The 15347-nt window shown below is 52.3% G+C and overlaps 1 protein-coding gene across 17 annotated transcripts in view, besides 1 other annotated feature; it reads left to right on the forward strand.

Annotated features, from left to right (window-relative positions):
- Positions 14468-15347: a silencer, noted in NCBI's record as "silent region_15237". NCBI's record gives its function as "represses an Ori minimal core promoter by ATAC-STARR-seq in GM12878 lymphoblastoid cells {active_cell/tissue: GM12878}" and the evidence as "EXISTENCE:reporter gene assay evidence [ECO:0000049][PMID:35858748]".
- The window catches only part of KIAA0232, a 101438-nt gene continuing 101178 nt past the window's right edge, over positions 15088-15347 (forward strand). For all 17 annotated transcript variants that reach the window (XM_047416450.1, XM_047416446.1, XM_047416453.1 and 14 more), the window contains exon 1: positions 15088-15202. The gene's annotated coding sequence lies outside the window, so the exon portion shown is untranslated. The remainder of the gene's footprint in view (positions 15203-15347) is intronic.

Here is a 15347-nt window from a genome sequence, read left to right on the forward strand (position 1 = left end):
TCAACCGGCACATTCCTTTTAGGTGAGGATTCTTTCCCTCTCTCTTTGAGGTCCCTGCTGGAGTAATTCTCCCCAGAGCTAAGTCCACCGTCTTTGGAATGAGTGTTTGGGGGTGGCCTGTCCCCCTGCCGCCCGCCCGGGCCAGGGAGATGGCCAATGCACGGCGGGCGCACCCCTATTCCCTCCTCACTCATGAGTCTGGTGGGACAACTCATCCGGTCAGTCATGATGAGTTGTCCCACTGCTGGGAACACCTGCCCTGAGAGGTCTGGATGGGCTCAGCCTCATGGCACCAGAGCAGGCAGCTCGTGAGCAGCCCCGGGGGACCAGCAGGTCACTGGCAACTGTTAAGCTGTGGAGAACTTCTCAGGGCTCAGCTGGCATTCCGACCTCCCTTTGCCTCCCACGGGCCTGGGCGGGGCCCCTTCCTTTCGTCCTTAGCCAGCCGCCACTCTGTCCTCCACTGGGAGTCCCTGCCCCCATTACTGCACCAGCTCCCCTCCCCCCACCCTGAGGACACCCACCCTGTTCGTTATAAAGGGACACAGGCACAGCTAACAAGGAACAATTGTGGGCACAGTCCAAAGTTCAGGGTTTTAAGGACACCGTTTCCGCCCCGGCCTCGTCTCTGAGATGATTCTGGGCCCATCAGAGGCTTCCGGCTTCTCCTTTTATGACCCTGAGCTTGTCGGTCTCCCTATCCTCATGCCCCCTGCCCTTGGAGAGACCCAGCCTTCCTTCTACAAGATCCCCTGCTGAGGGAGAAGGAGCTGGCTGGGGCAGGACCGTAGGCTCAGGCTACATGCCCCAAGTTCACTCTCAGCTCACATGCTCCAGACATTGTCCTGGTGCTCAGCCTGCCATCCAGGAGGCCCCTCCCAAGCTCCTGGGCTTCCATCCTCAGTGATCCAGTGGACCTGGTTCCCAGAGCTGGGTGGGAAAGGGCCCCTTGCCTCTGGGATGGGAGGAAAATGTTCAGTCCTCTGTTAAGCTGGTCGCAGACTCTGATGAACCTTTCCAGGGCCATGAGTCATGCCGTTTTCCAAAAGAGGAAGGAGGCTCGGGGAGAGTAAGTGTCTTGCCCAAAGTCACACAGTGGAGTCAGCACTTGAATTTAGCTCTGACTCCCATGGCACCTGCTGAGTGCCTGACCTGCCCCCTCCATCCCCCATGGCCTGCCTGCTCCTCGGTGCAAGGATCACCTCAGCTGTCACAGCTTTAGAAGTGAGCTGTGCATGAACCCCTGAACCCCAAAGCATCAGGGAGGGTCACCCAGAACCCCATGCCTGCTGGATGCCGAAGCCATGCCAAATAAATGGGACAGGCCTACTCATCATGCAAAGCTCCAGTGATGCTTTAGCTTCCCAGGAAATCTCTCTTGTCATGATGAGCACCAGTAGCAAGTGACGGCCAGCAGGCCCCCACTACAAGCCCGACACTAGGAAGAGGTGTTCCCAGCCCACACACAAATGCCTGGAGAATCACTAATTTGCTGCCCATTCTTGCTGGGAAGAGAATTTTCTGGGAGGAAGGGCTTTGTTAACCAACACCCTGGCATCTAGAATTGCCATTGGGTCTCCGTGATTCTAGTCAAGGGATTCGGCCATCCAGAGCAGGGTATCGGGGGCCCTCTCGGAGTTTGAACCTCTAACAGGATGGGGCCCATACCTGGGTGCAGCTGCGGTTGTGGGGATGCCCCTTCTGAGCAGCTGCTGCCTCTGTGTGCTCCCCTTCCTCTCCCCACCCCCACTCTCTTCCCAGGTCTCCCTCTGCTTACTACCCAGCATGGGCAAAAGCAGCTGCACCCAGTATGGACCAATAGGGGCACACCCATTTCGAGGCACTAAATGTGGTGCTGATAACAGAGTCCCCAGGCCTGGCTTGGCCCAAGGATGGAGCACCCCAACACCCCAGCTGTCTCAGGGGCCCACTGCTCAGCCTGGCTCACTCCCCGAGGGTGGGTGGTTTCTAAGTGCAGCTGGTGGGCTTGTGTGTGATGGTGGACGGATCCTGGAGTTTAGCAGGGTGACTGTGGCCAAGCTGTTTCTCTCTGGGTCTGTTCCTTAGTGTTATTGATGTTGTTGACAGCTGACCGGTCCTGCACCGTACTAATCATTTTACATGGAGAAGCTCCATGTAAAGCTTCTAGGTTGTAATTCTCATCACAACCCCGTGAGGTAGTTCATATTATCACCTCCATTTTACAGATAAGGAAACTGAGGACCAGAGAGCTCAAACTGATGTGCCTTAGGTCACACAGCTAGTGATCAATTGAGCCAGGCCTTGAACCCAGACAGTCTGGCTCCAGGACAAGCCCGCACAATATCTATACAGAAACAGGGCCTGGTGCATTTTAGGGCTGCTGTGATTTTGTCCTTATCTGCAGGTGCTTTTACCTCTGATTTCATTCGCCCTATGACCTGTATGGTAGGTTTTATTACCTCGGTTTTATCACACTTTCATCCTCCTCCAGGGTAGAATCAGCTTACAGATGAGGTAACAGGCTCAGAGGGGTTAAGCAACTTCTCAGGTGTCCCACAGCTGGTACGTGTGACAACTCGAATTCAAAGAAGTCTCCTGACTCTCACTGCGGAGCCTCCCATTCAAGAGGGACCTCAAGGTGTCACAGAATTTAGACATACTGAACGTCCTTACTTTATGAGTCCAGATTCAAATCAGTAATAACGCAATGTCAGAGGAGTTGAAGAATTCTTTCATGTATTTGTCCATCCTTGTTCCACACCTTGTCCTAGGATCCTTGGGGTTGCAGTGGTGGGGATGGAACCATAGAGATGCACAAGCCATAGATTTAGGAACTGGAATTTCAGCAATGCTTTCGGGTCTTCTGACAAGGTGCAGGCAGGCCACCTTTCTTGTATGGCAGGGCAGGACAGGGCTGGCCTGTGTTCCAGTTCTGGCTGTGTCACTCCCATGCTGTGTGACTTAGGACAAGGCTCTGCTCTTTCTGTACATTGGGTCACCAAGCAGGGATGAGCTGCCTGGTGTGGTGACTCCAGGTGGCTCCAGGAGGAAGGCAGGGGCCCTCTCATGTGAGTAGCCACATTCCTCCCTATGGCTTGTCCACAAAATAAGGGGACCTCACGGAGACAGCTCTGTGCACCTGTCATGCTGTATCGTTGGAGGGATTGGAGCAAGGCTGCAGCTTCCTTGGGGTTGGATCATCACAGGGGCCATAGTCATGAAGCCGATTGGCTGTGAACTTGGGCTGTGGGGTCCAAAGACCCAGGGTTAACTCCTGGCTCTGCCACCAGCCAGCTGTGTGACCTTAGCCAAGTTACTTAGCCTCTCTGAGCCTCAATTGCCTCATTCATAAAGTGGGGAACCTAGCACAGTGCCGAGCAGCTGCTCATTTACTGCAGGCACAGTCACTGAAGCTGAGAATTATGAAGCTGATGAGGATAGAGGGTCCAGCATAGAAAGTGCCACCTACAAGCACCTACTATGTGCCAAGACAAGGAGACAAGAAGGTGACGTGATTTACTTCTGGGCATACAGCAAGAACATGGCAAAGCTGGACCTGAGCATTGGGATGCATCAGCGCCTGCGGTGCCTGGTGGCTCTGAGCCTGTAGCAAGCTCCCTGGCTGAGGTCTGGGGCTGTGCCCTAGAGGAGGAGCCCCTACGGCCACTCCTGCTGGCCTGTGGCTGGGGCAGCATCAGCAGATGTCTTCAGTCCATCTGGCAGGTCTCACTTGCTTGGTCTGAGAACCTGCCCCACAGGCCTGAGCTCTGCAGGGAAAAGAAATAAAAATAGCCAGGTCTGAGAGGGCAGTGGCTGGGCCGTGGGCAGCAATGCGTGCCTTTCCCATGACTCCTGCTCTGCAGAGGAGAGTCCTTCCCTGAGCCGTCCTGTGTGCCAGGCCCTGGGCTGGGTGCCCGGGAAGCGAAGTTGTGGCAGGCAAAGCTGCTCCCCAGAGGAGCCCATAGCTTGGTGGGTAGAACATATTTGTCCAGTGCGGCACCTTGGGGTGGGGGCCCGAAAGGGCTAGCAGTGGAGCATTGCAAGAGAGACCCCCTCACCCACCTGGGGGAACACAAGGTAAGCTTCCAGAAAGAGGACACACTGGAGAAAACAGTTGTTAAGCAGAGTGGCGGGGGGCTTTCCAGGCAGTGGGACCAGCATTTGCAAAGGCAGAGAGGTGTGACAAGCATGTCCCATTGAGAGAAGTGTAAGTACCTGGGTACATCTGGAGGCTGGGGTGTCTATAGGGACAGGATGGAGGGTTGCGCTAGGAAAGCAGGGAGCCTGGGACTGTGGGGACGATGGGGAGCCAAGGGAGGTTATAAAGCAGGGGGTCACGATCTCTCCTTCTCAAGATCCATAGCCTTAATCCCATCAGCAAAGTCCCTTTTGCCAGGTAAGGTAACATAGTCGCTGGTTCCAGGGATTAGGAGGTACACTTCTTTGGGGGGTCATATTCTGCAGACCCTGTCTCTGTAATAAACTGCACTGAATCCTCGTCCAAAGGCTTCTAGGGACTCCAACTAAGACACCCCCAACCTTAATTCTGGTCCCTGGGCTCCCCGTCACAGGCCCCAGCACCAGATCCTTGGCTCAGCCCCTCCAAAAATCTTGGCAGGTCATTCTCTAAACAGGCGAGAGCTGGGTTCAAATCCTGCCTCTGCTGCTTACTTGATCTGTGACCTTGGGCAACTCACCGGTCTCTTTCAGAGCCTCAGTTTCCTCATCTGACAAAGGGGGTAAGGGGCCCAAGAGATTACTAAGCAGGTTAGAGGGTCAATAAGTGCCTGGCGCATAGTAGGTGCTCCAGAAACAAGAGCTATTGTCAGTTACCAGGTAGTTCTAGCCCTTTGTTTCCTTCCCCTGTGCAGAAAATAATCATCATAATTACACGCTCTGCTGTCATCCTGACCTGCAAACCCTCCTAGGGGCAAAGAAGTTTGTTTTGTTTATTTGTTTCCTGGATGCAAAGAATCTGTTGATTTCTCCAAGCCTGGCGCTGGCTGAAATTGTCCCAGCCAACACTGAAGCTGCCTAGAAGGTGGCTGCAGTTTTGGGGTGGCACCGGAAAGGGCTCTTTTAAGGAGCCACCAGCACCTTCGCCTCAAAATCAAGAACAATACCAGGCCCCATGCCAGCCACAGGAGTAATTAGGCCAGATGGTTTCAAGGCAGAAATTCCAGTAGTCCCTGAAATGCTATAAATCGAGCCACAGACAGGAGGTGTGGTGACTTGACAGCAATTTCTCCCCAAGGCAAGGCCTCCGCGGCATCACAGCCAGCCTTCCCTCCATTCCACTGCAGAAATAAATGAAGTTATGGATGTTGGTGTTTCTTTGCGGTGAATCAAATGGATTCCCTGTGAATGCTGTTTGATATTCTTCTTGATCATGTCAACTAGACAGAATGTGTCTTTCTAGCATTTGTTTTTCAAAAAAAGATGTGTGAAATAGGAATTTTCACATAATTCCTGAACAGGTTTTGGTGGCAGTGGTGTTTGTTTTCCAAAAGCCGGGACAGGAACTGCAGAGCCTTCTAGTGCTTTCCTTCATCTTCTCCCCAGTGCAGCCGGAACTCGCCCCTGGGGTGGCCCACTCTCCCCCACTGAGAGCAGCAGAGACAGCCAGCTGCACAGGCTCGGGATGTGGGCTGGGAGAATGCTCCCCCGTGAACTCACAAGCACATGTTAGGTGCTGTGGATACAAGAAGCCCAGTCATATGGAGAGTATGTGGTTGGGCGGCCAGGCTTTGGAGCCAGTGGCCTGACTTGTTGTCCCAGCTCTGCCACTCCCTGGCTTTGTGACCTGAGGCAAGGTTGGTATTTCTCTCTGCTTCCATAACATGGGATAACAGTGGCACCCACTTCATAGGGCAGTGAGGGATTGATGTATAAATACAGGTAGTCTGCAGAAGCTCACCTGGCAGACAGTGGGCACCCAGCAGACGCTAGTAATTTAACTCTGCTGATAAGGCCCCTTGTTAAGCAGATGACAGGCAAAGTGAATCATGTATACACCTGAGGACAGGAACACCATTTTGCAAGTGAGGAATAAGGCTTAAGAAAAAAAGAACCAGGCTGGGCGTGGTGGCTCACACCTGCAATCCCAACAGTTTGGGAGGCTGAAGTGGGAGGATCGCTTGAGCCCAGGAGTTGGAGACCAGCCTGGGCAACACAGTGAGACCCCATGTCGATAAAAAATATAAAAATTAGCTGGGCATGGTGGTGCGTGCCTGTAGTCCCAGCTACTCCCAAGGCTGAGGCAGGAGGCTCTCCTAAGCTCAGGAGGTCCAGGCTGCAGTGAGCTGGGATTGCACTACTGCATGCCAGCCTGGGTGACGATCAAGACTCTGCCCCCATCCCCCAAAAAAAGAAAAGAAAAGAAGAAACGAACCATAGCAACATTATGCCTAGAAGCCAAACGGTGGAAGCAACCGAAGTGTCCATTGACGGATGAATGTGTAAACAAAATGTGCTCTATCCTACAATGGAATATGATGCAGCTTTGAAAAGGAAAGAAAGTCTGACACATGTTCCAACATGGATGATCTCTGATGACCTTATATCAAGTGAAACAAGCCAGTCACAAAAGGACAAAGACTGCATGATTCCGCTTATATGAAGTCCTTAAAAGAGTCAAATTCATAGAAACAGAAAGTAGAATGGTGGTTGCCAAGGACGGCGGAGGGAGGGGAATGGGGGGTGAATGTTTAACAGGAATAGAGTTTCAGTTTTGCAAGATGAAGGTCCTGGAGATGGACGGTGGTGATGGTTGCACAACGATGTTAATGTCCTTGACACTGAACTGTACACTTAGAAATGGTTGAGATGGTAAATTTTATGTTATGTGTATTTCACAATTAACAGTTTAAAAGAAATGAACCAACTTGGCTGGGCGCAGTGGCACACGCCTGTAATACCAGCACTTTGGGAGGCCGAGGTGGGTGGATTACTTGAGGTCAGGAGTTCGAGACCAGCCTATCCAACATGGTGAAACCCCGTCTCTACTAAAAATACAAAAATTAGCCAGGCCTAATGGCACATGCCTGTAATCTGAGCTACTTGGGAGGCTGAGGCAGGAGAACGGCTTGAACCTGGGAAGCGGAGGTTGCAGTGAGCCGGGATCCAACTCTATCTCAAAAAAGAAAGAAAGAAAGAAGGAAGGAAGGAAGGAAGGAAGGAAGGAAGGAAAGAAAGAAAGAGAAAGAAAGAAAGAAAGAAAGAAAGAAAGAAAGAAAGAAAGAAAGAAAGAAAGAAAGAAAGAGAAAAATGAACTAACTGGCCCAGGTCCTTCTTCTGGGAGGTATGAAAAGCAGAATTTAGACCCAAGTTTGAGTGACTACCCGACATGAAAGCCCTTGCCTTCTGTCTATTGGATGGGTAAAATTTAGCAGAAGTGGGTGGCTTCAGGAAAGAAAATACTTTACCAAGGGAGGACAAGAGGAGACAGAAAGAGATGAGAGATCAGTAGGCATGAAGCCAGGAGAATGGGTGTCAGGCTGCTTCCGCTGTGTGACTTTGGCACACCACTCACCCTCTCTGGGCTTTGGGTCTCCACTCTTATATAAAGGTTAGATTGGGAGGGCATCCAGGGCCTTTCAGCTCTAAGGTCTAGGGTGGGGTGAGATGGGATGCCCAGGCACGTTGTGAGAGCTCCACTAGGCATAAGTACTCACCCCATCCCAGGATCCTTGGAGAGCCCACAGTTGGAGGGTAGGGATAAGTTACAGACAAACACCAATTGGCAAATGTTGGCTGAGCACCTACCACGTACCAAGCTCTGTCCTAGGCTAGGCTCCTGCTCTGAGGCTGACATCCTGTTGGGGAGTAAAGGCAATAGAGAAGTAAGCAAACAGAAATAGATCACACGGAGAAACAAAGATGGGTAATGGGGTGCAGGTGCTCAGGGGTGGGGCTGCAAGAGTTCCTGGTGGAGGAGAAGGCTGCACTCTGGTTGGTGGCCCCCGGAAGCACCCTGGAAAAGGTGGCATCTGGGCCAGGCTTTGAGCCTGGTTTCCCAAGCCTTTACTGAGCACAGGTGCTAGAGATAGAGAATTCAGGGGCCCATCATTGTGGGGAAGACAGACATGGCAGCGAACACATCACAGCACAGCCCAGGACTCACCACCACAGGAGTCTGCCTAAGCTATGGGGCAGGAGAGATGGGGATAGCAGAGCATCTCATGGGAGATTTTCCTGTTGAAAAGGACACATGAGCAGGGCTTTGAAGGATGAATACATTTCTCAGAGCTGGGAAGTATGCCCCAGGCTTGGGGAACGGCCAGTGTGAAGGCACGAGGGTGTGCAGCAGAGGCTTGGTGCGACTGAGGGCTTTGGGGTCGGCTGACAGGTTTGTATGCAGGTGGCGCTGCAGGTTTGTATGCAGGTGGCTCTGGATAAAGCAATTAGCTTCTACGAAGTCCAGTTTCCTAATTTTCTCAATGAAGGAGAGTAATAATGCCACCTGGTGAGGGGTGTTATTTTTTGCGAGTACTTTTGAGTATTAAGTGGTGTAGGGACTCTTCTTCTTCCCCAGTTCTGCACTGCTGGATCACATGGCATCAAGGGAACAGAGATGGGGAGTGAAGTGAACTAGCTCCATTGTATTCTGGGTATGCCCCTTCGCTGTACATTGGCCACCCACTGCTCTTATAGAGAATCCCCTTCTGGGACCTCAGTACTCCACAGGGAGCCCACCAGTTCCAAAACTCTAACCATCTCAGCCCAATCCATCTAAAGCAACCCATCCCGAATGTCATATTTTGGGGACCTTCCGTTTCTGAATTTGGTGGCCAAGGATGAGTGAAATTCCTACCCAAGCCTAGGGACCTTGAGGGGGCTGCTGTGTTACACACATCCCAGACCCTGGTGGTGGCGAAGCTGCCTCTCATCAGGAGCGGTGGGGCAGGTAGACATTCCTGCCACCAAGGTCTCCCAGTCTGAGGGGAAGGAGCCTCAGGGATCTGCCACCCAGTCCAACTTTTCCATGTGGGAAAGGGAGGCTCTGAGAAGCAAATCGCCTGCCTTTGACCTGGTGCTTGCTCTAGGCAGGCTCCATGCCAGGAGCTTTCCCTGAGGGGTCTTCTCCCAGTCACTTCTTCCTGGAAGATGCCAGCTTCCTGCCATTGCCCTCAGAGTATGAAATAATTATGGCATGTCGACATAAATATAATATCCATTTTAATAGCTATCATTTATATCCGTTTTCCCTATAAACACTGTAGCATCATTGGCTGTTACTGGCAATCCTGTGTTTTAGGAATGACCCAAATAGGGCTGTAAATCTTCAGCACTGTCTGATCTTTATTTATGCATTCAATATATATGAATTTTGAGCACCTGCTGTGTGTGACGCCCCGTTCTAGGAGCTGAGGAGGCAGCAGTGAACAAGTAGACAGAGCCCTGCCTGTCTTCCTGGAACTTACAGTTAAAGGGGGAGCAAAGCCATAGGTAAATACGTATATGACGCAGCACGTGTTGATTAGCGCTAAGAAGAAAAAAATCAGGTGGGCATGGTGGTGCATGCCAGCAATTCCAGCACCTTGGGAGGCCAAAGTGAGAGGACTGCTTGAGGCCAGGAGTTCAACACCAGCCTGGGCAACAGAGGGAGACCACATCCCCGGTGCCTCTGACCCCCCCACCGTCTTCTCTAAAAGAATTTTTAAAAATCAGCTGGGTGTGGTGGCACACTTATAGTCCCAGCTACTCTGGAGGCTGAGGCAGGAAGATTACTCGAACCCAGGACTACAAGGCTTCAGTGAACTATGATTGTACCACTGCACTCCAATGTGGGCGACACAGACCCTGTCAAAGAAAGAGAGAGAGCATAAGAAAAAAAGCAAGAAGGAAGGAAGGAAGGAGGGAGGGAGGGAGGGAGGAAGGAAGGAAGGAGTGAGTCAGTTGACACAGAGGGGTGGGTGTTGTGCTATTTTATTACCACAGAAGATGTTTAAGTATAGTGGGTTGAATGTTGGCCGCCAAAACATACGTCCATATATTGATTAAATTTGACAAAATCGTTCCCGGCTGGGTGCAGTGGCTCACACCTATAACTAAATAATCATTTCCAATTCCTTCACATGCTAATTGTCCAGATGCAGGGTACTTCTGGGCAATGCAGAAGCAGCCCCGGGAACGGTTTGTGTGGTTATAATGATGACAGTAAGTCGGAAGCCAGGAGGGAGGTCGGGTCAGGGTCTGGCCTTCAGGCTCCGTGTAGGGAAGCCTTCTTTGCTTGGGTGAATCCCAAAAGGGACAGGGATTCACCAAACATAAGAAGGGGCTTCATATACTGGCAGATGGATCAAAAGATGAGTGTTCACTGCTGGAGGGTCCGCCCATTGTGTGCATTTTAGAGAGATGCGAGCCAGCTCGGAGAGAGGAAGTAACTTGTTCAAGGTTTCACTGTGCCACATGGCTGCGCTGGACTCAAACCCAAGTCTGTTTGAGCTCAGTCTGGCTGCAAGGTCATCTCTGAAACAAATTCACCAGGTCGGTGCACTAGGACTCTAGCTCAGGCAGCCAGGGAGAGGGTGATGCTGTAAATAGAGCGATGAGGGAAGGGGCCCCTGTGTGGAAAGGCAGTGAGTCAGCCAGGAACATGCTGGGGGCTGGGGAGGGTCCCACCAGCAAGGCGGACAAGCCCAGGAGGCGGTTCTGGGCCTTGGAGAAAAGCTGGGGTAGGGGAGAGATATTAGGTGTCCTTCCATTTTCATGTTACTTAACAGCTACTGGAGTGGAGGAGACTGCCCTAGTGGTATGCAGAATGATAAGAAAGGAGGTATAAGAAAGGAGGGATAAGAAAGGAGGGAATGGGAGGGACAGAGGAAGAGGGGGTCCTGGAGATGGGCAGTCAGAGCTAAGTAGTGGGGGCTTCAAGGAGGGATGGTCGTGGGTGCTGGTATTTATTGAGTGTTTGCTGTGTGCCGGGTACCCTCTGTGTGGATTCACTTACCCCTTCACCGCAACCCTCTGAGGCAGATACTATTATTATTATGCCCACTTTACAGATGAGGAAACTGAGAGGCTAAGTAATTTACCCACATCAGTGAGCTAATCAGCCAGTGTGCTTAATCACCGTGCTCCCCTACTTCTGGTGACATTGCTGATGACGTTGTTGATTTTCCATGGACTGGGTGGAGGGATAGAAGTGAGGAACAAATTTGGAAGCAGGAGACAACCACACCTCTGATCTGGTTTGGCCCTACAGGGATAGGCAAGCGGAACAAGGCGTTATTCCTCTGTCTTTTCCTGCACTAGGAAGCCGAAACCCTCAGAAGGTCAGGGCCTTGCTCAAGGTCAGACCATGGGGCTATGCCAGAGGCTTGAACTCTCTTTAGGCCTGGAATGATGTTACTACCCCTAAGAGAGGAGAGCCACTGAGAGGAGAGGCTGTCAGAATGCGGGTGCAGGCCTGGGGTGGTTAAGAGAGAAGGCCATGATGTGGGCCACCTTGACTGACAGCATCTGAACTGAGATGCCTAGTTAGTATCCCAAGTGAGGGTCTTGGTCCCATGGGGAGGCAATGGGGAGATTATCTGGTCAGGGTTTTATCTTGGCCTCATTCATTTAAAAGTCATCTCAGGATGGATTTTAATGATACTGTGTGGCCCAGTAGCAAGCACAGGGCTAAAATGAAATCCTGGTGCTGCCTTTTAGTAGCAGTGTGGCCTGTGCAAGCCACCTAAGTCTCCAGAGAAGCCTTGGCTTCTGTGGCTGCAAAATGGGGATCATCTCTTCCCTGCCTGGTATTGTGGGAGTTAAGGACAATGTGAGCAAAGCACTTGGCATGCACCTGGGGGTCAGTAAACAGGAGCTGGCATTGCTCGTGTCAGGTGACAGGTGAGGATTTGTATATCATTTATCAAAGTGTAGCTTCATTGAAATTTTGTTTCTAAATCTCTCTCTCTCACACACACACACACACACACAGGCACAGAACAAAGGAGATTTTTGAAATCTTCCTGCCCAAGTCCCTTGTTGTGCAGATGGGGAAACTGAGGCCCAGAGAGGGAGATTATGTACCCAAGATCACAGAGTCGAAGAGGCCTGGCCCCTGCCTGCCGTCAGTCCGTGTGCCACACGACATCACAAAGCATCCCGGACCCAGCCTCATCCCTGCTGTTCACTAAGCATACACATTACACAATCACTGCCCCAGATGGCAGCTGCTAGAATCCTCGCTAGCATCGAACATCCAAGTCAGAGGGCACTCAGAGTCGTCAGCTTCCTCCAGCATTGCCTTACCCGGCTGTAGGGGTTAAAAAGCTGTGGCAGGTGCTCCTGAGACTAGAGAAATGAAATGAATGATCTCAGACATACACAGGAGACAATGGTTTCTTCTCAGAAAATGCTGAAGGGGGAGTCTACCGCCTCCACACCAACCCTGCCTTAACGCAGGAGTCCTCTGGCCTCATTTGCATTCCCTAGGGATCTTAGCCCACAAGAGGGAGAAAGCTACTGTTCTCCTGAGTTTAAGTTGGCTGATCTCTACCCGGGAGCCTGAAGGAAGGTCGTAGGCAGCGTGGCACACTACAGGGGGTAAGGGGCTCATGCAGAAGAGCCCTGTTCCTGATTGCTCAAGGGAAGGTGGGATTGTTTTCTCCCTGATGTGCACTCTGACTACATCACAGATGATAGTTCAGTCCTGCACCTACAAACTGGCAGGCTCCGTGCTGGGCTCTGGGCATATGAAAATAAGCACCACAGGCAAAATGCCTGCTCTTGTGAGATACAGGTCTTGAGTGAGGAGGCTGAGATGAATGAGGAAACAAACATACAAACGAGATGATCTCAGATACTGATAAGAGCTGTGAATAAAGAAACAAAATATAGCAGTGGCATCATGACTGGGAAGGTTGGCTACTCCAAACTGGGCATCTAGATGTCTCTGGGCAGGTGACATCGTAGCAGGGCCTTTAACAAGAAGGAACCAGCCACGCAGAGGTCTGGGGAGGGAGTTCCTCACAGAAATCAGCAGATGCAAAGGCCCTAAGGTTGGAGTCAGCTGAGACTCCTAGGATTTTTATCAAAATAATTTGGAGGACAGGAGGCTATTTTGTTAAGAAAACAAAGTAAACAAGACACTTTCTTTCCCTAATCTGTCATCTTTCCCCACCAGCTCCAAATCCTATTAATACAAGATAATTCCTACTTAAAAACCTCTTCTTCCAAGAAGTCTTCAGGTTCTACTAGTTCATGGTAGAACTAGTATAAAAACTGGTCTGTGGCAAAGTAATAAAAAAAAAGGTCAATAAACTCTGTGTGTGTGTGTGTGTGTGTGTGTGTCACTATACAGGTGCCAACCGTGTTTCCTTTCTTCAGAACTGAGATATACTGTTATTACTTTTCAAAAAATTTTGCTGTTAATACTCTTTTGTAAAATATGATGTAGATGACAGATATGTCACCAATGTAGCAAAAATCAAAAGCTGACCATCCTTTGCAAATCCCCCATACTTTGGTCTGTGAAATCCTGGAGCCTGGAGGCACCTGTGAACTAGGCTCTGAAGCTCTGCTACTCTCCCCTCCTCTACTCCCAAGTGGCCCTGGATTTCCCATACCCTTTCCATTCTCGACACTGTTTTTAGAGTTTGAGTTCCAGGAGCACAGGGACTGTGCGTTCCCGGCACTGAGCCAGGTCCACAACAAGCACTCAGAAGAAACTGACTGAATGAACGTGTGATTTATGACGATATACATTCACCTGAGCGAATGCTCAGAGAATACAATTAGAAGCAAACTGGTTAAGGGAGACAGTAGTGTAAAGGAAACGAAACCCCATATTTCAGAGCCAGGAGCCTGGGTTCACATTCTGTCTCCTGCAAGAGGTGGTTTAGCAAGGTCAGAAGGCCCTGTCCACTCGGTAGCAGCCAGGCTTGGGTGAAATCACTTTCTTTCAGCCTCAGCTTCCTCACCAGTTAAATGCGGATGACAAAGATTTGTCCCACGATTTTTGTAAAGAACAAAAAGATATGTTCGCAGAAAAAACACTCTGTAGATAGTACGTAAGCGACAGTTCCTCGGTTTGTCCTTCCATGGATGCATGGAGCATCTAGCCAACTCAGCAGATGACCCCTCTCCAGTGTTTCAGCATCTGCTTCTCCCACAAGCCCGTGAGCTGGTGCAGGAAATTCTCCAACAGGTTCTGAACAGAAAAGCATAGTGCCTGGCACCTAGTGGGTGCTGCATAAATGAACAAATGACCCCAGGTAAGTCACTCCTCCCATTGGACCTCTTTCTTCTAAGTAATCTCCCTTCCTTTTCCAGGTCCATGATACTTATTTGCTTTTTTAGAACAGGCCTAGGAGTCACATTTAGGGAAGGTAGGTGGCTGTGAAGACACTTTGATTAAAAGGTTAATGCACATTTTTGGTTTCCACTTTCGAAGCTTCCAGAATTTATTTTTGCCTAGTTAATAAAAAAAGAGCCATGTCACATTTCTTTAGCTTGTCTTCTGGGTTCCTTAACAACAACAACAAAAAATTAAAGTCTTTATTTTAAGCCGCCTACTCCAGCCATCCCAGGACGCGGCGAGGAGGGGGCGCGGACAGGTGGCGCGCGAGCCCGGGAAGGCGGGGGCTGCACCGGGCCGCGGGCGGGGCCGTGCACGCCGAGCCCCACTTCCCCAGCGCGGGCCGGGGGCGGGGCGCGGCGGCAGAGTTCGGGGGCTTCTGCCGAGGGCAGTCCCACGTGCCCCTCCGCGGGAGACGTCTCCTCTCCGACGCCCAGCACGCTGGGGGGCTCCCGCTTCCTGCCTGCCCTCTCTACTGCTTGCCCTCTCACCTCCCAGCGGCTTCCGCCGCCCCGGCCAAGCTGCACGGCGCGTCCCGGGCCCTAGACCCCCACCCGCCAGGCACCAGCCCCGGCCTGTCCCCTCGCGCCGTCAGCCCGCGGCCCACCGCCCGCGCGCGCCCGCAGCCCAGCCGGAGGGAGGGGCAGGGGCGGGGACCGGCCGGCGCTGATGTAATCCCGGCACCCGGGCGGAAGGATATGGAGCGCGCCCCTGGTTGGCGGGGCGCTGAGGCCAGTTGCCGGGTAACGGAGCGGAGCGGCTCCCGGCGCGCCGCCTCCCGCCCTCCGCGGAGTGGCGCTGGGGCCGCCGCCGCCGCTTTACGTAAGGCGCAGGCCAGGGCCGCCCGGCGCTCGGCAGCCGCCCGCAGCCCCTCGGAGCCAGAGGAGAGGCGCCCCCGCCGGCCGCCGCGCCGCCCGGCAGCCTCGGCAGGTACTGCGGGCAGGCGGCGGGGAGGGAGGGCGCGGAGCAGCCCCTCGGCCGGGTGGGCGCGGGCCGGGGAGGCCGGACGCTCGCCGCCGTGGGGCTCCGGGGCCAGCCCGAGGGAGGCCGGGCCGCAGCCGAAGGCTTCGGGGTC

The sequence above is a fragment of the Homo sapiens genome, chromosome 4 (assembly GCF_000001405.40).
Source record: "Homo sapiens chromosome 4, GRCh38.p14 Primary Assembly".
Taxonomy (NCBI): domain Eukaryota; kingdom Metazoa; phylum Chordata; class Mammalia; order Primates; family Hominidae; genus Homo; species Homo sapiens.